A 26,200-nucleotide genomic window follows, 5' to 3' on the forward strand; every position below is an offset into this window, starting at 1 on the left:
TCACCCATTGGGACTTCAGCTGGAAACATTCACCCCGAGAAATTCCCATGGAGTTGGAGTCCCACAACCTGCCCGTCTGCATGCTTCCCCTGGAGGTTTCAGCAGTGGGACACCCAAGAAGTGAGCCACTCCCCCATCGCATGCCCTGTGAGGGGGAAGAGGAAACTTTTTCTGTTTTAATAGTAGGTTGATCCCAGCACTTTGGGAGGCCGAGGCGGGCGGATCACGAGGTCAGGAGATCGAGAGAGACCTTCCTGGCTAACACGGTGAAACCCCGTCTCTACTAAAAATACAAAAAAAATTAGCTGGGCATGGTGGCGGGCGCCTGTAGTCCCAGCTACTCGGGAGGCTGAGGCAGGAGAATGGCGTGAACCCGGGAGGCGGAGCTTGCAGTGAGCCGAGGTCGCGCCACTGCACTCCGGCCTGGGCGACTGAGCGAGACTCCGTCTCAAAAAAAAAAAAAATTGTAGGTTGGATTAGAATGATGGAAATTGTAGCAGACACTGCTTATCTCATCACAAAACTTTTCTTGCTGGACCCATCTAGACTAGATATCCCAACATTTTAGTATTTAGGTTTGGCTACGTAACTGAATTCATTCCATGCCAATGGAAGGTGAATGGACGTTATGAAAATCACTTCCATGCCTCACAATAAAAACCTCCTAAGTAATTCATTGCTCTGTCTTTTTCTTATCCTGCCCTGCTGGCTGTAGATCTACATTCAAGATGTCAGTGTTAATTAGGTAGACTCCGAATGACTGCATAGGGTTAAACATCACCATCTCACCTCTCCTAACAAACGCACACAATCGCTGCCCTACATGCTGCATATTTGACCTTAAAGTTTCAATAAATGCTTTCTATTTTGTTAAAAGTGGCAAAACAAATCTGTTCTGTTGGAATTCAAGATAGTGATAGGCTTGAAGGGTGAATGACCAGAAGGGAGGAAGAGCAAGAATTCTGGAATACTGCTAACTTTCTGTTTTTTCATCTGAATGCTGCTCACGTGGATATATTCACATGAAAGGTGACCAAACTGTACAATTAGGATAATTGCATTTTATACATCATTAAAATGTTTAAAAATGTGTGGTGTTCAAGCCTTAATAATTTTAAAGTTTATCTGCTATGGCAGCTAGTATTTAAGTACTTAGCAGTGGAAATGTTAAAAAGTACATGCACTTGAAATAAAATTTTTATGTAGAACCAATAAAATTTTCCTACAGAATGGATGTGGACACTTAGCAGGTGCAAACACGTTTGACTTGCATGTATCTGTCCTGAGAAACTCAACACTGGCCTTATTTCTCTTCAATCCAATTTTTTATACTTTTGACCCTGACATACTAATGTCACCTCACACACTATTTTCTTTGCTAATGATGACATAGCCTAGCTCTCTAGATTCTAAACCTGATTGTATCTAAATCTGCCACCCGAAAAGATAGCATTGAGAGTGAACCTAAGGAATGTAAGTCTTTATAAGTCTTATTTATGTCTTTATTGAATTAATCTGAATCCAAAATTTTAGTAATGCTCTGAAGTTGTTTCACCCTATAGATCAGTGAGTTTATTCTTTTTTGAAATGTGTGTTTTTTATGAACATGTAAGCCAACTTAAGTATTTTTAAACTGCCTTATAGTTTATAACATATAGCCACCTCAAAATGTAGTTCTTTTCTGGTTTTTAAACTTCAGCTTATGAATTATAGAGTTTTTGCCACTCAATAAAATGATTTTAATACATCTTCAGCATCCTAGTCCAATAGTCTTCAGGGAAATGTTTCCTTCTTTTATAAAATTACTAAATTAGTTAATCCTCTTGAGACAAATGGCACAGTGTATAAAAAGGATTATAGTTCTTCCAGTCTTAAAAACTATAAGCTATCGTATTCCTCGTATAGACTAGAAACACCTCAGCGTGAACAACAAGCTAGAAACCTTCTCTTTGTTCTTCTTCTCTCTAGATTATATATACACATATATGTATATATAGAAGAGATATGATAAACATAGAGGTAGATATATGCTCCAAATTTAATTTAATACAACATAAATCAGAGAACATCTTATTAATAAAAATCATGAGAAGAAATGAACCTAGGTAAGATTAATGTCATAATAAAATCTTCAAGCCTAAACATCCTGAGTGTTTCTGGCATTAATGTATTTTTTGGATGAGAAATATGGACAAAAGCAACATAAAAATATAAGAAGATGCAATATTCAAAAATTACCTCTGTGCTGGGACTTACCTGAAAAAAGACAATTGGGAATGAAATTGCTACTAAATACATTAAAGTTTGGAAAAAATTATGTCTTTATTTTAATCATACTAACTTTGTTGCATGAAGCTAGAGGAAGAAAATAATTTCTTTGTAAAGCTATTGAAACAGTATGGCATGAAATTATAACTAGTTTGTTTTTGTTTTTGTTTTTTACAAAGCAAACATTAAGCTAACCATTTGAGAAGTTGTACTGAAAAAATTAAGTGTGTTATAAGAAAGCTTTGAACCTTTCACCTTGCAGATGCCTAGTTTTGATGAAATATTCTTTGCAACATACAATTGAATCTCAGGAATGCATTTTATTAAATGAATGCATTTTCCCTTCTGTAATTATAATTGCATATGCCTCTAGTATTCATAGTCTTTGTAAACATTGTGAAATATAATACTGAAAAAATAATTTTTTTCCTGAACTTGAAAAAATTTTTCCCTATATGTAGTCATGTTGCATTCAATGTTATTTAAACATTTCATGTAAAATCTACTTTTCATATCCCAAAGGAATCTATCTTACCTATAACTTGCCAAAACAGCTGCAGTTGCCTTTGGGACTATACTGGTGGTTGGAAACATATGACTATTTTACTATCACCCAGCAAGCATTTTATTGTGGTATTCAGTAGAAAATTAATGCTGTCAAGTAGGTTATAATAGTTTTTTCATTGCTGTTTTGCTTGTTATTTTTATATTTTATAATTTAAATTTAGGCTGGACAGTGTCCATATAAATTACTTTCTGACTGCATTCTCTGGCTTATAACTCATCTTTTGTTGATTGAGGTTTTCCTGTGTTTTTTGAGCTTTAATATAAACTATGATTTTTAATTTTAAAAAACTTCCTAATGAATATGGACTACATTTAAATGACCATACATTTTTAGAAAAATGATCAACCAAAAATAATGGGAAAGGAAGGGGAAAAGTACAAAAGAAAATGAAGAGAGATTAGGACAAAATTTTATTTATTTTGTAATCATTTATAATCACTGGAAATGCTTGTGTATGTGTTTCACTCCAGAGCTGGAATATACACAATGTAATAATGTTCATATACAGTTTAACATATGGCACAATATTCTTCTTGGGGAAAGTGTTGTCATTATTAAGAAAAACTTGGTGATGATAGACTTGTCAGGTGATAAACGTGAGGACCTAAGCATGGTCTGGAAAAAGATAGAAAAACAAGAAAAATAAAAAAGTTAACATAATTTTGAATTGCTATGTGCTGAACTAGAAAAGAGAGAGAGGATGTGAATAAGATACAGAAGAAAAGAGATGGCCATGGCAACAGGGGGAAACATGCAGAGCAGTGACACTAATGACAATTACGAGGGAAGTCCAGCTAACATTTGATTTTCACTGATTTATTTATAGGCATGGTCTTGCTCTGTCATCCAGGCTGGAGTGCAGTGGCATGATCATAGTTCACTGAAGCCTTGAATTCCTGGTCTCAAAGCAATCTTCCTGCCTCATTCTTCCAAGTAGCTGGGATTACAGGCACAAGCCACATTTTATTTTTAAATAGTTTGTTTTGTAGGACCCTCCTCTGTCACTGCAAATATTCTGCAAATGCACTACATAACACAAGCATCATGTATGAGGATAGAGTTTATATCTGCTTGAGTAAATACAGAAAAGAGAACAAGCAGAGTGAGTGAGATAAATGTAAATTCAAGTTTTCAGGAAAATTGGGAAAGCAGAGATAAAAATGGTCATGAGGATGGAGACCTTGGAGAGTTTTTAGAAGTTTGGTGAGGGTATTGAATTCCCACTGTGGAAGCCAAGAGATGTTTAAATCAACTTTGCTTTGATCTTAAAAGACAGAGTTCTCAGCTGAAATCTGAATTAATGAATAGCAAAGTCTAGAAAAAAGACTAACAAACACAGAAAAAAACTTCATTGAGCAAAGAGTGAATCACCAGATGGTATAAAATAATTTAAATACTTCAGAAAAAATTCAAATACAGAATATAAAAGTTGAAATATTATGATAGTTCTTGTGTTTGTTTTTATATTGACATGACTTTTATCGATGCAACATATTATCCCTTCGCAATGCTTACATTTATGGCCATTGAGAAAACAGAACAAACTCAAAAAGTTGCATGTATTTAGCAACATTTTGAGTAAAAATCACATAAGTTAATTTTTATAGGCTGCTGTTAAAGGAGGTCGGGTGTGGGTAGCAATGTCTTTATGGTGGATTTCAAGAAAAATGGGTATCTCATGCAGACCTTTCCTCTTCTGTTCTAATTTTTCTTCTTATTTTTAAAAATAGAAATCAACTATGAGAAACCATACAACAGTAGCAAACTTTATTCTTCTTGGACTGACAGATGATCCACAATTACAGGTGATTATTTTTCTTCTCCTTTTTTTCACCTACATGTTGAGCATCACTGGGAATCTAACCATCATCACTCTCACCCTACTGGATTTGCATCTCAAGACACCCATGTATTTCTTCCTCCGAAATTTCTCATTTTTAGAAGTCTCATTCACAACTGTCTACATTCCCAAATTTCTTGTTAGTATGGCAACAGGTGATAAGACCATTTCTTACAACGATTGTGCAGCACAGCTGTTTTTCACTATTCTCTTGGGGGCAACTGAATTTTTTCTTCTGGCTGCCATGTCCTATGAGCGCTATGTGGCCATCTGCAAACCCCTGCATTACACCACCATCATGAGCAGCAGAGTTTGCAGCTTGCTGGTCTTTGCTTCATGGATGGCTGGCTTCCTAATAATTTTTCCGCCACTCCTGATGGGTCTCCAGCTTGATTTCTGTGCAGCCAACACTGTAGATCATTTCTTCTGTGATGTTTCTCCTATACTGCAGCTCTCTTGCACAGACACTGACATAATAGAATTAATGATGCTTCTCTCAGCCATTTTGACGCTCCTGGTTACACTGGTATTAGTGATTCTCTCCTACACAAATATTATCAGGACTATTCTGAAAATACCTTCTTCTCAACAGAGAAAAAAAGCATTTTCTACATGTTCTTCCCACATGGTGGTCGTGTCCATTTCTTATGGCAGCTGCATCTTCATGTATGTGAAACCCTCAGCAAAAGAAAGAGTGTCATTAAATAAAGGGATAGCTCTGCTCAGCACTTCTGTTGCCCCCATGTTGAATCCCTTTATTTATACACTGAGAAACAAACAAGTAAAAGATGTTTTTAAGCACACAGTCAAAAAGATTGAACTTTTCTCAATGAAATGAATCACTTTAACGATATTATTAAGGTTATTAGTAAAATAAAACAAGAAGAGTGGAGTATGTGCAAAGTTTTTCAATGTTTGTATTCAATAATATTACCTCTTTTTTGACTTATAATTTTCATTATGGCCTTCCTAATCTCCAAAGCCTAACCTTCACTGCCATTTCTCCCTCATGCTGAGATCACATAGAAAAGATATTTCTTGGTTTTGGTCAAAATCATTTGCCTGTTATTTATTGCCTCTTTTATTTCCTCTCAAAATTCTCTCAGAGGAAGACAAAGTGAGACTTCAGTTTTTCCATGCTCTTTTCCACTCTTCTGGAATTCAAGGACCCAATTTGTCATATATTCTACATAGAGTTCAGTAGACTACCTAGGTTTGATCACTTAACGCGTGCATTATTGGTGGATACAAAAGTGAAATCTGCTTTCTTTCTTAGTGTTTAGTAGAATCTCGAAGCAAATCAATTTAATGGCATTTCTTTAATTACACAGTTTAATAGCTTCAATTTTTTTTAACCAGGCTTAGAGATATAGTATACTCTCAGAAATAAATGAAAGAAACTTCAGAGAGGTTAAAGCATTACTGCTATTGCAGCTATCATATAGAACTTACAGCTAGCATTTATTGATTGCTTACAATGTGCCAGATGTTATTAAATTTATTAGTTCCATCTTCAAAACTCTGTAAGACAGGTATTTATATGCTCCATTTATGGATTAAAAATATAAGTCATAAGGATTAAATAATTTGTTGATGACAACAAAAATAAATACCCAAGGATGACAAAAATGATGCCTTCATGTCCACTCACCGCTTACACATTTTTAGCAAAACGAAGTGAAAATCTCTCTCTGCTCTTAAGTCACTTAGAATGCAAAAGAACAGTAAGACCTTTGTAGAACATTCTATAGATTTATGGATGTCATAGATAAAATTAAGACCTTACAGCTCCACAGAGTACCTTATTTTTCAAATTAAGTGGTTTGAACATTAAAATTAGATATAATGACTGATCATGTGCAGAGTATTTAAAAACTTTTCCTTTCAATAGTACCCTATCTCAGTGTTATAAGACAAGAAAACTTTTTCTGAAAGACTAATGTCAGTTTCCTCAAGAAATATTTGTCTATGATTTAGTTTCCACATAAGGTAACTGATAACCTTATGAATAATTCTGACTGGAAGGATTTATTTTTCTGACTTATAAAATTATTATATACATTTTATCTTAATGTATTTCCAAGTGTATATAACTTTGTCATATCCCCAGGCTAGCAAGAAATTTTATTTGAATTTTACAAGCATTAGTGAGAAGCTTTAAATATATATATATCTAAATAAATATTAACAGGGCACTGAGAAGCTGAGAAGATTCAAATAGACTTTTCAATAGTGGTCATGTATGTGTAAATGGTTTTTATAATACTGCAATACTTTAAGAACATTTTATTTGAAAATAGAAAATAAATATCTAGGGAGTATTCTTTAACTTTCACTATTTGGCTTTCTTTGCATCAGGAATTTAAGTTTTTTTTTATTATTATACTTTAAGTTCTAGGGTACATGTGCACAACGTGCAGGTTTGTTAACATATGTATACATGTGCCATGTTGGTGTGCTGCACCCATTAACTTGTCATTTACATTAGGTATATCTCCTAATGCTATCCCTCCCCTCTCCCCCCACCTCACAGCAGGCCCCGGTGTGTGATGTTCGCCTTCCTGTGTCCAGGTGTTCTTATTGTTCAATTCCCACCTATGAGTGACAACATGCGGTGTTTGGTTTTTTGTCCTTGCGATAGCTTGCTGAGAATGATGGTTTATACACAAATAATTATACTTTATAGATAATAACGACACTCAAGAAAAGTTGACTCAAAATGTTTGGAATCTGACAAAAAGTCTGATCTGGAATATCTCAGATTTTCTTCTGAACACTCTTCTCCACAATTTAAGTTGTTGCCAAATGCAAATATGTAACATATTTATTTTATATTTCTAAGTATTACATTGCTTACTTTTAAAACTTATTCTTTATACATGAACTCTAAGCTCAGCTCTTTTTAAAGTCTAATATATAGGTAAATCCATAAATCATTGAATGTATATTAAAAACTTTTTCTCCCCTTTTTTAATCCAAAAATGAATTATTGACAATTTTGTGAAATTCAGAAATATACTTAGTAGACTTAACTACTTAGAATAGATGGATTTTTTTCTATTTCTAGGTTGTTTGTAAGTAGATAACAGAAAAAGCAAAAGGAAAGAAACCCTAGGCCTAAGTTACGATGGGAAAAGATTAGTGAAGATCATTTTTTACTTAATTTGAAATAAATCACTAGCAATCTGATTTATTGTGTAAATACCAGAGATCAGGGTCCATTATAGGCACTTAAAATTTTTAAATTGTGCTAGGATTCTAAAAAATATTAAAATCTCATTTGTTCACCTGTTTAACTCATTTCTAATATTCATTTTTCTGGAAGTGAAAAGGAAAAAAATAACCAACTGTTTTTCACCAGTATTAGGTTGGCGCAAAAGGAATTGCAGTTTCACCATTAAAAGTAATTAAAATTTCACCATTAAAATTTAATTTCACCACTAAAAGTAATGGTGAAATCACAATTCCTTTTGTACCAACCTAATATATACTGAGTAAGTATTAAGACAAGCTAGACTCAAGGTATGTCAATTGTCTATTACATAGCCTTCCTGCCTTTGATCTCTAACTCATCCTCCACATTGCTAGTAGGATACTTTCTAAAATACAAATCAGTCATGCCACCACTCTACTAATACATTATTGATGGTTCTCCGTTGCCTGCAAAATAATGACAAAATTCCCCAAATATTTGCATAACCTGGCCTGTCCAGTTTGGTTTCTTATCTCTTCCAACTAGTACTTCTATGATGTAACCACACTAAACAACTAAGTATATTGCAAAACTTGTGTGCTGTCACGTATATTGAATGCCTGCCCATTGCCCAAATCTCTGTTAGCTTGCAAAACTTCAATCAGTTAAAGTTAATTAACATGGAGACTTCTGTGGAAGGCTGGTCGACAAGTATATGTTAGTCACTTCATACTCAAATTTTGTAGTGTTTGTAGTCAACTCTAGATGGTGCTTATCATAGCACATGTAATTAACTATATTTATTTCTTGCAACGAACTCTAAATCTCATAGTTTTCTACATTCTCTTCATCCAAGCCGGTGCCTAGTAAGGAATAAATAAAATAAATAAGGCAGCAAATGACAGGAGATGAGTGAAGTTAATATGTTCATCTATAAAATAAGATTAAAATGTGGCATTTGATAGGGCTTAATATAAAAATGTAAGCCTAGATTAAGGATGTCTACTATAAAATAATTAATAGATTGGACTTGATGACAGGCAATATGAAAAAAAAATTAGGTGTTAGAAAACTACAAGTTTACTATAAATATGGAGTGTTTATGAGCATTGAAGAGATAATTCAATTGTATGATACAATAAAGTCCCATTGTATCATACATATCTCAAAAATTCTGTTTAGTTTTATCCTTTAAAAATCTTTTGAAGTAAAAGAATAGTCAATATTATCATAAATTTAGAAATTATGTCATATGAGAAAATATTTAGGGTACTAATGACATGGAGCTTGAGAAAAAATTGCTTATAAGAAAAATAAATGCTACCTTCAAATATTAAGATTACTGTGTTCTCAAAAATTATGGACTTGCTTTTCTTTTTATAAGTGTAAGTGTGCAACTGGTGTTTATCAAACATTCAATTAGTAAATATATGTATATTTTTCATGGTACATGCACATTTATCAGTTTATAATTTATATATAAACAATAGTATAAAATATTTTGAAATTTTAATAGAAAAATAGGAATTAATAAAGGAAATTATACAAAATGATCAATATATTTTAATAATATAACTTTACAGTATAACTTTTAATTTTACTTATGGTACAAATATTAGTTTCATTTTAATTCAGCATACTTTATTATACTTGCAAATACTTATGTAATTATTGTGTGAAATGAACTGCAAGTCTTATTACAGTTTATTTTACCTTGTACTTAGTTATGTGGGTTGTTGTAGTGCAAAGTTAATGCTTCACAATAATGTGGATCCATTTTAAATGAACTGGAAATCACAATAATTATTCTTCAATCCCATTCAAATATGCTTTTTTTTTTGAAATTGACTACATTAATGTTAATCAGCTGTCTTGATTTTGCATTTTTATGTAATTTTCTAAAAGCACACAAATGTTTTAAAATATTAAAATGATTATGTTTTCAAGTTTTCTAATGAGTAGATGAGTATTTTTATATTTAATGAGTTTAAATAATTTCCAGTAACAAAAATCGTGGAAAGAATTTCAAACAGTCAATTTCCAAATTTCTCTTTTAATTCAACTTTCTTTTGATAATGGGTTACTTTTTCCCATATTTTTAAAACACCATCTGTTTTGGAACAGAGTAAGGGGGTGATATCTTCAAGAAAACATATTACTGATGGAGACCTGTTGTCATAGGGAAGGGAAAACTAGGCTATGTCTACTTATAAAATAAAATTCCATAATTCTCTTCAATGTGTCTTTTAAAATACTTTACATAAGAAATTCTGATTCTGTATCTGATACAAGTTTTTAAATTATTACTTAGCATATCATCATACATTTCTGATTTGCTTCTCTTCCTTTTTTTTCTTCTCCACCTCCCCTTCCTTCTCCTTTCTCTTCTAACAACCCTTTAAAAATGTAAAATACATCTCAGGATCTCAGGTGGAAGTCTGTACCAAAACAATCCTTGGCCTGTGGGCTATGGTTTGCTGGCCTGTGGAATAAATGATGGCAAAGGGCTAGAGTACAAAGGTATACCATTTTATTTGCAGGTTGTGCCAATAAATTCTTGTATTATCTATTAATCCATAAACATTCATTCCCAAAATCAATAACTGGATATTTAGTGCCAGAATTATTTTTGATTTATTCTAGTAAATGGGCCATAACTGAAAAGACAGTTGCAATTGAATTTACTACCTAATTTAACTTATGGGTTCATTATCATCTGCTAAAATTTATCTGTGTTAGGAGAGGCAGACAGTTGAGTTCAATGGGTATGTGGATTAAGTCACCACTCCTGCATCTTTGTTTTTTAAGTCTTTGATGGTGGCACTAGCTTTGAAGCTTTTCCAAGGATATAATGATGCTGTCTGTTTATTATCTCTTAGTGAGGGAGACCATATGGTTTTCCACTTGGCCCTGAATATATGTGTTTTAACTGTATGCACAGGACAACTTTGCACATGCACTAGGTTCACTGTAAAACAGACTAGCACATAATCATAACTTATCAGGAAAATGTCTCTGACTCCAATTTCTTCCACTCTTATAAGTAAACACACTGGCATTTTATAGTCATTGTAATTAAGCTTAGCTCAGAAATGAGGTGGAATAACCTCTGAAAAATCCATGTTTCATTGATTTCACTGTACGATTTTCTTGGGAAAGGACCACATATCTATTGAAGGACACTAGCGGAAGATTTGGATATTAATATGCATGACAGTTTTGCAAAGACAACTTTCTTCATGGGTTCTGGTTCTATGAAAGGATTGAAGTCTGTAATTGAATAAGGAGCTTTAACTCCATTATGATGGCTAATTCATTCTTCCTTTCACTTATCCTAGAGTTCTTTCAATTATATGGACCAGTTAGAAACCTAATGAGCTGCCTGTTTATTTTAGTCCTAGGAACTTCATAATCTGTTGTTCACTACTAAAGTGCATCATGCAATATTGATAACTACTTCGGCCATACTGACCAATAAGTAACCACACTGAATATGCTCATATCAGTTAAGTGCTATTACATAGCCTCTGACTTTCCATGATCCATCATGTCCACTGAAATCAGGGAGTTCATTTTAACAAAAGCATCTTCCATCTTCATTTCAAACCAGTGGTTACAATACTTTTTAAAGCTGCTAGCAAATACCCTTGTGAATATTTTAATATCTTGCCAAAAGATTTTCCTCTGGGTATTCTCCAGTTACATAGCTAAGGGGTATGTAAGTAAATTGCATACAATAAAGCTGTTCCATATTGCAATTCCTCTAAGTTTTAGATTTATATTTACATATATGAAATACATACACACATATATGTAATTCCCAGTTGGGATCCTTTCAGATTTCCAATCAATTAACTTTCACAAAAGATATCTGGGAAGGATGTAAATTTAACCAATATTGCTGTATAATAAACTGCGAGATCAGAGCCTACCTTTGTTTTCAGCACCAAGTGACATGAGGATTTAAGAGATAAATTTATTTAGGACAGTCATGGGAACTTCATGATTTGCTGATTATTGTATAATTCAAGATAATAATTAAAGGATACAACCTTGTAATTTTCTTTCTTTAAGATCCTCAATATGGATCTTACCATGTTATAGCCTTATAGCATGTGCAGTACTTGTATTTCACATGCTTAGCACAGTGCTCTTTACCTTATACATCTACTTTGAGAAAGCTCAGCCTTAAATATAAGCTTCTTTCCAAGTGATAATATTTGATGCCATAGACTTGTAATATTCCATTTTCTTATGGTTGCAGCACTTCTCAGACCTTTCAAGATGATATTAACTAATTATAAATTACCCTTCTTAAGGATCTATTTCATGCAACCACTTGTAGTACCAAATATATCAGTTATCACTGTTAGGTTGCAATTCTCCATGGCATTTCTACACATTTAATATTATGCTTGGTCTGGATTTTTTTTTACAAAGTTGTTTTAATATCATTCAGCCTTGAAAGATCGAAATAATACCTCCCTCCAGGGCAGAAGGGAGATTTGCTTCCTGACTAGGATTATAAAATAGATGTCTCCCAGGGTGGCCAGGTTGGGCAGGTTTTCTAGCTATCTCTTTAAAATAGTGGGGGTTCCCTAAGTTCAGGATTTCACAGTTGTGTTACAGACTGATTGTGTCTGCTCTACCCATGGAGCCCCCTCTGCATTGCACCCCCTGGGGACTGGGAGGCAAAGGGAACGAGGAAACAACAGATGTTGGTGAGGATGTGGAGAAGTAGGAACACTTTTACACTGTTGGTGGGAGTATAAATTAGTTCAACCATTGTGGAAGACAGTGTGGTGATTCCTCAAGGATCTAGAACTAGAAATACCATTTGACCCAGCAATCCCATTACTGGGTATATACCCAAAGGATTATAAATCATTCTACTATAAAGACACATGCACACATATGTTTATTGTGGCACTATTAGCAATAGCAAAGACTTGGAACCAACCCAAATGCCCATCAATGATAGGTTGGATAAAGAAAATGTGGTACATATACACCATGGAACACTATAAAATATACATCCATAAAAAACGATGAGTTCATATCCTTTGCAGGGACATGGATGATGCTGGAAACTATCATTCTCAGCAAACTAACACAAGAACAGAAAACCAAACACCGCATGTTCTCACTCATAAGTGGGAGTTGAACAATGACAGAGAAGAATTTTAAATGCATATTTCTCAATGAAACTAGGCAGACTTAAAAGGCTATAAATTATTTAATTTCATTTATATAATATTCTGGTAGAGATAAATTTATAGAGAAAGTAACATATCAGTGGTTGCCAGGACTTTGTTGGAGTAAGGATTAAACGAGGAAGCATAGGGAATCTTTGGTTAGGGTAGTAAAATTATTCTATATAGTAATGTAAAGATGAATACATAATGTAGGGAGACCCCCTGAAACTATTGCTATGGAATAAAAGGTGAAATGCTCCTGATTATTGTAAATACAAAATTGCATGCAGGATTGTGTAAAGACAATGCCAGGTTGGACTGCCAGAATGAGCCAACAGCACATGATGTGCTTCCCCCTGCAGAGAGCCTACGAACGGACATGCAGTCAGGGAGGTTTCACATCACCAAGATTCCTGTCCCAGAAAAGCAGATGTTCATAGCTCTGGGAATGGAATGGGACCCTTGTGTAGAGCCTATAAATGGACGCATTGGGGGGGCACCTGTTCATATGGATAAGATAGGGCTATAAACGCCCTCATCTTGCCACAGCTCTTCTAGGCCTCTTTGGGGGTAAGGCATACTCCCTTCTGATATTTTCCGGTCTAACCGGTTGTCTAGCTTCACCTCCTGTTTCTATGGATTGTTTGTAACCAGCTTTTGCTGCAACTGTTACTGCTGATTAATAACTTGCTAATCATAGGTTATGGAAAGACTGTGTTTCTGTTTTAAGGCTCTGTTAGAAATTACTGATGCACACACTATATTGTAAACTCTTATCTCTGTATACTGTACTTCTGCATACAGATGTTATGTTAAAGAACTACTTCATCCCCATGTGACCATCTCACCTCATAATCAAAAGACCCTAAATCCCTCACTAACCTGCCCCGCCCTCACTAAACTTAATAATAAATGCTGGTATATCCAGTGCATTAGTGGCATCGCGGGACTAGAAGGCGGTGACCCCCCTGGACCCAGCTTTCACTGTCTTGTGTGTGTCTATTATTTCTCGACCTGCCAATCTGCCTGGGAATAAAGAAAGAGCCCCTCATTGCATTGCGGACTGCTGGCCAGATCCTGCAATAACATAACACCGTGCAGTTGTCAAAACCAGTAGAACTTTACAATACAAAGAATGCTTCTAATGTGTGAAAATTAAAAAAAAATCTGGGATATCACAATAGAATGTGGAAGAATTTAGCTATATTACAAATGTGTGACACAACCTCACTGAAGGGCATAGTGTAAAAAGTTGCTGACCTAAGAGAAATAAGTGGAGTCAGTAAGACTAACGTCAAAAGGAACTATACATAACCAATACAGTGAAGTTAATAAAGTTTTCTCCCAATACACATACATACTGGAACTGAATGATTGAGCAAGTGGATGGCAGATGATGGAAGCCAGTATCTCACTGCTGCATTGGGAGATTACTGATAAGGAATGACTCGTGATGGCATTTTAAACATGGTGACGGTATAAACTAAAGTTTAATTTAATATATATACAGATTGATACTATAAAATATTTATCATTGTGTGTCTAGGCGTAGGTTAATATAAACACCTATATTTCCTTGCTCTGTCACCTGAGAGTGTCTAGAAGCAAAAACAGCCCAGTAGCAATAAGCACACCCAGTGCCCAGATCTTGGTTTTTAACACCATTTTCTCATAAGAAAAATAACTAGAATCAGGCTGCTGATAGAGTTTGGCTCTATGTTTCTAATGCAGATGCTATCATTGCATGGCATATTTGCAGCTCCTGTCAAAAGTTGACTTGCTTTTCTCATGCTGGGGTAGGCCATATTGCAAGGAATGTTGCCTCCTCCTGCTTTTGGCAACTTGACTACCTTGGGTCTATTGGTAGTGCCTCACCGGGTAGATGCTGTTTTAGGTTACTGATAAGTTGACTATGGCACACAACTGTGATCTTTGACATTATCTGTGTCATGTCTTTAGATCCTCAGAGCATCTACAGTTTGACAACTTTTATTGTCCAAGCTATTCAGCAAAGGACTAATAGCCTCTGCCTCCTCATCTCTTCCTGATCCATGCACCTAGGTAAAGCAGTATGGTCATTGAATGCAGCTGTTCCCAGACTTGACTACTCATCTTCTTCCAGGGTAATGATCAAGATAAAAGTGGTTGGGAATTATACAGACTTACTTTGAAAATTCAAAATTCCACCTCAGTCATTCAAAGAATGATGTACCTTTCTTTTCCCTAAGATCAAATCTAGATAAGGCTGGTGCCATACCTTCCAGGTGGTAATTTGGACACAAGGGGGCCTAAGAAATTAGAGTTTGATACTTGTTGAAATTTAAAAAAAATTTCGTTTTTCTTCATTTACCTGACTCTTCTAGATGAAAGATCTGAATATGAGTCGGCTATGATTGGGAGAAAAAAAAAGGTGAAGCTATAGCTACAGGAATGTAGAACCCAGATTTGAAGGAAGTATAGGTAGAGAAAAAGCTGGCATATGAGGAGAAAACACCTTGTATACTCAGGGGCCATGGAGAGAGGTATTAGTAATCTTTGCCTTTAAGAAGTATCCTGGGCCCTTTCCTCCAGAAGAAAACTTCCACTCTACGTCTGCCACAAGAGCCTTAATTTTGATGGACTGCTGCATCTTCCATCCTTTACCAGACAGAGATGGCTCTGTCAGGATAACAGAGACAATAAGGTACTATTACACCACCTGCATGTCACTTGATAGTGACAGGAGGTACTGTTACACCACCTGCATGTCACTTGATAGTGACAATAAGGTACTATTACACCATCTGCATGTAACTTGATAGTGACAGGAGGTAGTCAAATGCTTAGGCAGATAGGGGCACGTCCACAGTGAAACCTCACCTCCAAGCAGAAGACAGTTTAATGCCTGAAGGCCAAGCTACAAGTTAAATCCTTGAACTGAATTGAGAACCTATCTTCCCATTGGGCGCACTTTTCTTTGATTGATTCTCACCCTTCACCTATTTTACATAAACTTACACTTTCCGAATTGGTCTTCTACATTGTTGTGCCCACCTTTGAGAGGTGTCTTTCTTTTTTACTGACCAGAGTATTGTCTTCTAGTGGGAAAAAGTTAGGCAGCTTTGCAAGTAGTCTCTAAAAAGACTGGGAATTTAATATAGTTGGGGTCCCCCATTTGTGAATTGGGTGCATTGTGTGCACATTAGGGCCTCCTCTACATTGTCCTCCACCTTTAGGGGAAAAGAGATGCTGACAAGAACATGAAGGATGATTCCGGGAAATTGCACAAACTATCTATGTTTCCATCCTTTGGCCAGAATTTATCCACAAGGTTACCATAAATTGTACCAAAGGCAAAGACATGGAAACTTCTATTAATATGGAAGAAGTGGAAAATGGTTATCTATAATGAAATGTGTTTCAGACCACTAGACAATATCCCAAGGACTGCAGAAAGTATAACTTGCAGAAAAGAAAGTCAAATTTATATAGGACATAAAATGTTCAGTTGTACCTGATGAATTAATGATGTGCATTTAGCTTGAGGTGGATTTTGTCTATGACAGGCTACGTTCTCCATTTTATATTCCCACCTTTTAGTCTCGCATAAAATAATAGTTTTCTTTTTTATGTCTGTCAATGTTTAATGTAATATTTCAATTAAGGTAAAGAATGTTTATAAGCACTAAGTATACTTAGCTTCAAGCTTCAACCTTTTAAACAAGAAAAACAAGGCCCAGTACATTTTTTATTCTTTGTGGTTAATGCACAAAATATCCCCACTTCCCTTGAGAAAGAGTATCATATTTAAAAATACACTTTGATGAATATTGAATGTTAAAACATTATATGATACTATATAATGCTTCCAAATCCTCATCTATATATCTGGGATTTCAAAACATAGAGATGGGAGGACAAACACATATTGGGGCAATCTACACTGATTTCTCTTGAGACACTGTTTGTTTAATGTAGTTATTTTTAAGTAGGTATTTTGTTTTTAAAGTTATTTAGTGCCTTGAGAGAACATGTGAATAACATATGAAGTAGTCATCCTTTGGGAAATGGTGTTCTTGGATCTGATATTTTCCTGAGAATCCTTCATAATCTTTATTTTTCTTCAGGGCACAGAAAGCATAAAAACTCCAAGGGATCAAGAGTTGATTAATTTTATGTGGCACTGTGTGTAATACTACTTAGGAAAACATTCAATACATAAATAATTAACATACAGTTAAGAGGAATTTTAATGCACTAGTCTAACTGCAATAAAATAGCTAAACAAGGCATTTCCAAGATTGCTATTTATAGGTGAGAAATAATCATCATAGATTATGGGATAGAGAGATTCATTCAGAGAGAAATGTAGTATCAATATGCTTGATTCAGCATAATGATAAAAGAGTTAAATGTTAAAGCAGAGATGCTTTTGTCTAAATAAATCTGTCTATATCTTTAATAATTTTTTGCATGTTTCATATAAATGTTTTTATTTTAAAATTTTGAAGAAATATAACTCAAAAAGATAAAAATAATTAATGTTTCTAAAAGCTAAAGGAAATATTTCCTTTCAGACAAGTTGTGATTAAGGTTTGTTCTTATTTTACCATTAAAGTTTAATCTTTCCTTTTTTTAACCTTTAAATTGCATTCATAGGCCTGACTTCTCTTGGTTTTATACAGTGAGTTTCATGATTTTTACAGTGCTGTTGGGGAATAGTTGATATGTATGATGGTTGAAGTTGGTCAAAGGAATGGTCTAACATGACAAAACTCTGATTTAGGTGTTTTAGATATATGGATTCCTACAATGATGGCTTCTACGGCAATTTGTATAAACAAGAAAAATTTTGTGACAGATTGGTTCATAATTATATGAATGTGAAAGCAATGTCCAGGGAAAAATAACAGTCATTTCATTTCACTCACGTATGCCTGCATTATTAACACGCACGGTTTTAATAGCAGAATGCTACTCGTTGTTTCTAATGAAGTCATGCATGTGCCCTTCCCTTTGTTTCTGTTCAGGCTTTCCCTTTGCTAGGAATAACTCGTCTTATTTCCTTATCTCCCTCTAAGACCTATCTTAGAATCCAAATTACCTCCTGCAAACTTCTCTAGATATTATTGGAAACAGCTTTGACTTGTTTTCATATGTTTATTTTTACTCATGTGTCTGCCTTCTTAGTAATGTATGCTTCTGTGATTGGAAATAATTAAATTGATATTTTCACAACAGAAAACATAGTCCTATATAATGTCATGCACATCACAAAGACTTATTTCATGTGTTTGGTGATTAAAATGCCCAGGAAGAAAATTTTCCCTAGATATATCATTAATTGCTTTGTTTTAAGAAATGCACTATAGCTGGTATACAATTGCTTGTGTACCAGAAGACATTTTGGAAAATAAACTCAATCTTAATACTGGATCTCAAATTTGCTAGCTGTGTAAACCTGAACAATTTTGTTTCTTGATCTCACTGTCTCACTCATCACATATACCGGATGTAGAAAAGTGCTAACTATTATTATTATCTCTTTAATTCCATATTATCTGGATATTTGAATATCATTATATGCCTCCTAAAATTTTGTGTCAACACTCTTCAATGATTCATTATGCATTTGTAATTTACCAAATATTCCTTTTTCAAGGCCATGCTGAACTCAAAATTGTTCATGTTTTCAATCTCTATTTTACACAAAGAAGAAATGTGAGTATGTAGAACAAAAACACAGAGAAATTTCATTACTAAAAATTTCACCCTTATAATTTTTATTAACTTACCTATTTTAATCTTCTTTTAATTCTTTCCTCTATCTCGTTACCCTATCTCTAAAATCTTTCTTGTCTCTCTAGCTTTTCATACAGCTTTGTCTTTACTTCTTTCACAACATACAATTTCCTAAACCCATATTTATGTATTTCTCTCTGCTTCTGTTTTCCTATATCCCACTTTTCACTTTATCTGGTCCATTCTCAAGAGCGAAACCTCAGAGGAAAACTGCAGTGGCTTGCTAACATTATTAGACTGTTACTGCTGATTTGGTATTGAGGTTCAGTATGGGAAAGCTTGGGTAGGTACCAACGGAGATTAAGGTGATGGAAACACTAAAAAGAATAGTGAATGAAATCATTCCCTGTGCCTCATTTTCACTGATCTGAAACTGGATCTTATTAGAAATGAAAGTTAATGAGACAGTAATCAAGCATTTGAGTTTGATTAGTTGAGTAAAATGATAAAGGTATACTGGCACTGGTTATCAGTGATGGTTAGATTTGTGTGTGTTTGTGTGTGTGTATGTGTGTGTGCATGTTAAATGCAAAATATGGTCACATGTACTTCTAATGACAGGTATCATTTGGGGTTTTATATGCAAAATTTAAAAATTTTTCTTCAATTAAACTTCTTTGAGCAAAAAGTGGTGTGCCATCCAAATTCTTGCATATTATCAAGAAAGAAAAAGCATTTTCTATCCTTTAAGTTCTTTTAATTTCTCTGTAATTAATTCACATAAAATAAACGAGCAATTACTATCAGAATGTAGATTATTCTTGGGTAGCAAAGTTTTAGTTCTCTATCCAAATCCTCTGGAAACACAAACTATTATTCTTCCTGTCATAAGCTTCTTGAAAATATTAATGAACATCGTATTGCTGTATCTGAAACCTCACTTTGCTAACTTTAGCTTAAACACTGTGATCACTGTTATTTTTCTGTAAAGATAATTATTACTTTTTTCTATACAGAGCTGATAAAATTCAGAGGATAGTAATGAGAAACCATACCAGAATGACGGTGTTCATCCTAGCAGGTTTGACTGATAACCCAGAATTGAAAGTTGTGTTGTTTATCTTCCTGCTTCTCACCTATGTGCTGAGCATCACTGGCAATCTGATTATCATCACACTCACCCTGGTGGATATTCACCTTAAGACTCCCATGTATTTTTTCCTTCGGAATTTTTCCTTCTTAGAAATTTCCTATACTACTACATGCATCCCTAAATTGTTAGTTACTATGGCAACTGGGGACAAAAGCATTTCCTATAACAGTTGTGTCACTCAAGTGTTTTTTGCCTTCCTACTTGGAGGGTCAGAATTTTACTTGCTGGCAGCCATGTCCTACAACCGCTATGTGGCCATCTGTAAGCCTCTGCATTACACCACCATCATGAGCAGCAAAATCTGCATGCATCTTGTGCTTGGGTGTTGGCTTGCTGGTTTTCTCATCATCTTTCCACACTCCCATTAGGCCTAAATCTTGACTTCTGTGCCTCCAACGTCGTTGATCATTTCTACTGTGACACTACTCCACTCCTGCAGATTTCTTGCACAGACACGCAGCTCCTGGAGAGGATGGGATTAATTTCAGCGTTGGTGACACTCTTAGTCACATTGGTAATGGTGATAATATCATATACTTACATTGCCCTGACAATTCTAAAAATCCCTTCAACCAGTGAGAAGAAAAAGGCTTTTTCCACATGTTCTTCTCACATGATTGTGATATCCCTTTCTTATGGCAGCTGCATCTTCATGTATGTTAAGCCATTGGTCAAACAAAAGATATCTTTTTCAAAGGGAATTTCGGTGCTCAATACCTCTGTTGCTCCACTTTTGAACCCTTTCATCTGTACCTTAAGAAACCAACAAGTGAAAAAAGCCTTCATTGCGTGTAAGGTACAGGATTGTCTCTTTCTCAAGGAAATGAACATTCAATTGTATTATATAAAGGTAATGAAGAAAGGAGTCTCAAATAATGTCATTGTAGTACAGTAGTAGCTTCCATGACACAGTTCTCTCTCTTTTTCTTTCTATTGCTTTGATATTTATCTTCATGTCTTTTCAAACTTTTTCATAAAATTTTTTGTTTTAGAGAAGCTAATTTTCTTTCACTATTTTATGATAGGTAGTTTTTATTTCTATCTTATTTTTTATTTAGACATCTGAAAGAAATTGAGCTAAATTTTTCACTATATCTCATTTGACTTTTAAGCATTCCAGTTAACCAAGACTATTAAGTATTATTTTATTTAAATTTCATTTGATGTATCATGCAATGCAAAGGTTATTATATTTTCTTTTACCTGTGATTAATTATAACCAAATTAAAACTAATATTTATTTATATTTTGTCAAACTACTAACTTATTGGTATATATTCTATTTAAGGAAATTAAAAGACAATTATAACATATTTGATCATAAGTGTTGAGAATAATTTAAAAATGTATATTAATGTATGTAATTTTTATTTTAAAACATATTCTACAGAATCTAGTTATTTTGTTTCTATGAGAAGCTATATTTACAAACAGTTTAAGTTATGGTTGAGAGACAATGCATTATTGTATTGGTTTATTTTTAAAATAGAATATTTAATTCATATTTTCATACCTCTCAAAACTCTCTTTGCCTCACTTGGGATGCTCTGAAGCTAACTGCAAATGATTTGTGAATGATTATTAAATAAGATCAATGTGAACTCAATGTAGTTATTTTTTCAGAATGTATTTTCTAATATATATATCAAATATATATATATGAATGGTATACATAGATATAGACATATGCATACATAGATATAGTTCCAATCAGTGAGACCAGGATAACAGAAGAATTAAAACTGTCTCTTAAGGAGATTTTCTAGCTATAGGTCAGATTCGATTAGAAATTAATTTCTGTGTGATGACCAGAATATTTTTAAATAAAAAAATAGAAAATATTTTCACAGATACACATCCTATTTCACGATTTTTTTCATAAATGTTTGTGTATTAGGCCACATTATTTTTTATTTCATATTTTAAAAATTGTGGATCTTGATTGGAAGAAAATATGTTTAAATAATAACATCTACAGGGGAAGAACAAAATATAGTCAGGGAGAAAAATACATATAGTATGTAATTAACTGGACAATTACACAAGTGTTTGTAGAAATTATAAAATGAATTAGGCCTTGAAAGATATTTGGATTATAAATATGATTTTAGGAAAAGGGGTTATTTAAACATTGATTAATTTTCTTCTGTCATTTAAGTATACTTACTTTTCCATTTCCATTTCCTATAGTGTTAGTTAACTTTTAGATTTTCTTTTTTTTTTGAGATGGAGTCTCACTCTATCACCCAGGGTGGAGTATAATGGCATGATCTCACTGCAGGATCCTCCTTTGGGGCCCAAGCTATTCTTTGCCTCAGCCTACCTAGTAGCTAGGACTGCAGGTGCGCACCACCACACCCGGCTAATTTTTGTATTTTTAATAGATGGGGTTTCACCATGTTGGCCAGGCTGGTCTTGAACTCCTGACCTCAAGTGATCTGCCCACCTCAGCCTCCCAAAGGGCTGGGATTACAGGTGTGATCTGCCATGCCCAGCCAAACTTTTAGAAATTTTAAGAGCACAGGAAATGAAAAATATACATACAACATTTTGACGCAATCTAATAAAAGCAAATCCTAAGGCTCTCTCAATCTTCTGATTAGTTTTTACTGTTATGTGCCAAGGAGGATCAGTTTGCTTAAAATATCTTGCCCAAGTTAAATCACTAATTTGTTCCTGAGTTATTCTGAAATAGTTTATATGTTTTAAATTTTCTGTCATCTACTTTAGAAAGTGAATGCTCTGTAACTCTTAATAAAGATCTAGTACACTTAAAGCAAAACTTCCCCATTCCTCCTGACTTCTTCCCTTTCCAGGTGGATTAGTTATATCATCTGCCATCTCTGGTGCTTCAGTTGGTTTATGACATATCACTTACATTATACCTATTAGAATCACTACCACTGGCCTCTGAATTATTAATCTCCAGGTAGTTTATTAATAGTGTCTCTTTTTGTTTTGTTTTAAATTATTGGTCTTCAGCTTGTAACACAGCTTTTTAAATACAGGTACTTCTTACTTCTTGAGAGAGCTTCTACCTGAAATGTTGAAATGCTTTATGCTAAAATGCTTTCAGCTTTTCTTCTCAGGTGATGTACAAACTGTGGTATTAAAATAAGACCTTTATCTTGTGTACTACTCACTAAATGACAGGGACTGCTTGATATTCTATCTGATTGACCAATTCTGGAAATAACAGTGTGATATAAAAATTATTATTAGCATTAGGCATAGGATCAAAAGATATCTCAGTGAGGTTAAGATGGCCTTGAAAGATGTGGAGCTAAAAAGCATGGTCAAAATTTAAGCTCAGCAAGGCTTAGTTTTCACTATGCAGTTGAAGACTTTGTTGTCTTTTAAACTTTAATCTTCTGTCCTTTCTGAGCTATGCATTAGAGGACATTTATTTTCTTTGCATACTGAGCACTCCAGGATAAAGACTAAAAGGATAATTAGTGGTATTACTTTTCCCTGGTTGGTAAGGATCCTCACATAAAGCTTCCACACTCTTTTGCCTCCTAATACCTTGTGTTACCTTTCTTAAGAACATTAACTGTCTTTACAAGGCAGAGTTAATCATTCAATTCTCTGTGCAACCTTTTTGTACCATTTAATTTTTGTTTAGCGACTCAATAGCAACTATCCTACAAAGGTCATTCTAGTCTGCCAGTTGACTTAGCCATCAAATTACTTATTTTACTTAGTTCGTTTCACAATAAATTATAATAGATATGTGCTTCTCCAACTAACTTTATATGCAGACATGTTTGGTTAATCCATCACATTAATATTTCCAAATTAAAATACATATACTTAAAAGACATTCATTTGCTATTCAAAGGAAAACTGTCAAAACTTTCATGTTTTGTTTCAAGAAATAGCTCAAAATTTGATCAATTAAACAGTAATATAAAATGCTTTCCTCTCCAGAATAAATTTTATTTGTAAATTTCTTAATGAGTAAATTTCTTAGTAAGTTAAAAATAATTTAAGGCTAAGTCACATTAGCTGTAATCTATGATTAGAATCTTTTAACATTTTAGGACATTTCTCATAAAAAGAAGTTCTCAGCAGAGCCTGAACTGTTACTGAATATTTCAAAATGTATTTTTTTTTTTTTTTTTTGAGACGGAGTCTCGCTGTCGCCCAGGCTGGAGTGCAGTGGCGCAATCTCGGCTCACTGCAGCCTCCGCCCCCTGGGGTTCACGCCATTCTCCTGCCTCAGCCTCCTGAGTAGCTGGGACTACAGGCGCCCGCCACCTCGCCCAGCTAATTTTTTGTATTTTTAGTAGAGACGGGGTTTCACCGTGTTAGCCAGGATGGTCTCGATCTCCTGACCTCGTGATCCGCCCGCCTCGGCCTCCCAAAGTGCTGGGATTACAGGCGTGAGCCACCGCGCCCGGCCTCAAAATGTATTTTTTTATATTTTAGAATATATTGCCTATCCTTCATGTCTCTTTTCCTCAAATATGTTAGAATACCTATAGTCAGATATTGTAACTTGTAACAAATAGATACTAATTTTCATTAGTTGGTAACGATTTAAAAAGTTTAGTTACAGATGCTTTCTTTTCTTATTTTTTTACTTTTTTTTTTTGCTTTATATTTATGGTATTATTTACTCAAAGCTGAATCAAGGTTTCTATTGTAATCAAATACTTGGAATATTCTACTTCTAAAAGATACTTCTTGCTTGTTTTGTAATATTGATTTGGAAAGCACCATTGCCTACCTATGGCTACCTATGGCTATTATTGTTATCCTTACTTTTCAAATTCACATTCTCTTCTCATTCTCAATCTCAATCTCTTCTCAATTTTTAGCCTGTAATTCACCAATCCTTCTTTTTCCAAATTCATGAATCATCTATTTAGTGATGATAATGAATCTCAGTTGATCAGTGCCTTCTATTTGATGTAATTTCTTTGTCTAGGTTTAATGAAATATTATCTGGTTTTCTACATAGGCTTATTAGTGGTTCTTTCTCATCTCCTTGGCTGCATTCTCCTCTGAATGATTCCTAAATATTAAATTTATCAATCAACACTTGATATGGTTTGGCTGTGTCTCCACTCGAATCTCATCTTTAATTCCCATGTATTTATCGAGGTACCTGGTGGGAGGTAATTGAATCATGGGGCAGGTCTTTTCTGTGCTGTTCTCACAGTAGTGAATAAGTCACGAGATCTGATGGTTTTGTAAGAAGGAGTTTCCCTGCACAAGCTCTCCCTCTCTCTATTTGCCTGCTGCCATCCATGTAAGATGTGACTTGCTCCTCCTTGCCTTCTGCCATGATTGTGAGGCCTCCCCAGCCACGTAGAACTGTGAGTCCGTTAAACCTCTTTCTTTTGTAAATTGCCCAGTCTTGGACATGTCTTTATTAGCAGTGTGAAAGCAGACTAATGCAGTAAATTGGTACAAGTAGAGTGGGGAACTGCTGAAAAAGATACCTGAAAATGTGGAAGGGACTTTGGAACTAGGTAACAGGCAGGGGTTGGAACAGTTTGGAGGGCTCAGAAGAAGACAGGAAAATGTGGGAAAGTTTGGAACTTCCTAGAGACTTGTTCGACACCTTTGCCCAAAATGCTGACAGTGATACAGACAATAAAGACCAGGCTGCGGTGGTCTCAGATGGAGATGAGGAACTTGCTGGGAACTGGAGCAAAGGTAAGTCTTGTTATGTTTTAGCAAAGAGAGATCATTTATGGTATCTGGCAGAAGAAATTTCTAAGCAGCAAAGCATTCAAGATGTGACTTGGGTGCTTTTAAAGGCATTCAGCTTTATAAGGGAAAGAGAGCACAAAAGTTTGGAAAATTTGCAGCCTGACAATGCAATAGAAAAGAAAATTCCATTTTCTGGGGAGAAATTCAAGCTGGCCGAAATTTGCGTAAGTAATGAGGAGCTGAATTTTAATCCCCAAAACAATGGGGAAAATGTCTCCAGGGCATGTCAGGGGTCTTCATGGCAGTCCCTCACATCAAAGGCCTGGAGGCCTAGGGGGAAAAAGTGGTTTTGTGGGCTGGGCCCAGGGTCCCCATGTTGTGTGCAGCCTAGGGACTTGGTGCCCTGTGTCCCAGCTGCTTCAGCCATGGCTGAAAGGGTCCAACGTAGAGCGAGTTCGGGCTGTAGCTTCAGAGGGTGGAAACCCCAAGCCTTGGCAGCTTCCATGTGATGTTGAGCCTGCAAGTCACCAATATCAAGAATTGGGGTTTGGGACCTCTGCCTAGATTTCAGAGGATGTATGGAAATGCCTGGATGTCC

At 34.8% G+C, this 26,200-nt stretch overlaps 1 protein-coding gene and 1 pseudogene across 1 annotated transcript; both read left to right on the forward strand.

Annotated features, from left to right (window-relative positions):
* The first annotated feature begins 1,896 nt into the window (after window positions 1-1,896).
* Window positions 1,897-13,913, forward strand: OR6C74 (olfactory receptor family 6 subfamily C member 74). The gene is made up of 2 exons (NM_001005490.2): window positions 1,897-2,105; window positions 4,567-13,913. Exon 2 carries the CDS (start codon window positions 4,576-4,578, stop codon window positions 5,512-5,514), a length of 939 nt encoding a protein of 312 aa, NP_001005490.1. The 5' UTR covers window positions 1,897-2,105; window positions 4,567-4,575; the 3' UTR covers window positions 5,515-13,913.
* On the forward strand, window positions 19,827-20,722 carry OR6C69P (olfactory receptor family 6 subfamily C member 69 pseudogene; annotated as a pseudogene).

The sequence above is a fragment of the Homo sapiens genome, chromosome 12, assembly GCF_000001405.40.
Source record: "Homo sapiens chromosome 12, GRCh38.p14 Primary Assembly".
Lineage (NCBI taxonomy): Eukaryota > Metazoa > Chordata > Mammalia > Primates > Hominidae > Homo > Homo sapiens.

Coding starts and splice junctions, on each gene's coding strand:
- OR6C74 (NM_001005490.2), top strand. CDS start 4,576: ATGAGAAACCATACAACAGTAGCAAACTTTATTCTTCTTGGACTGACA.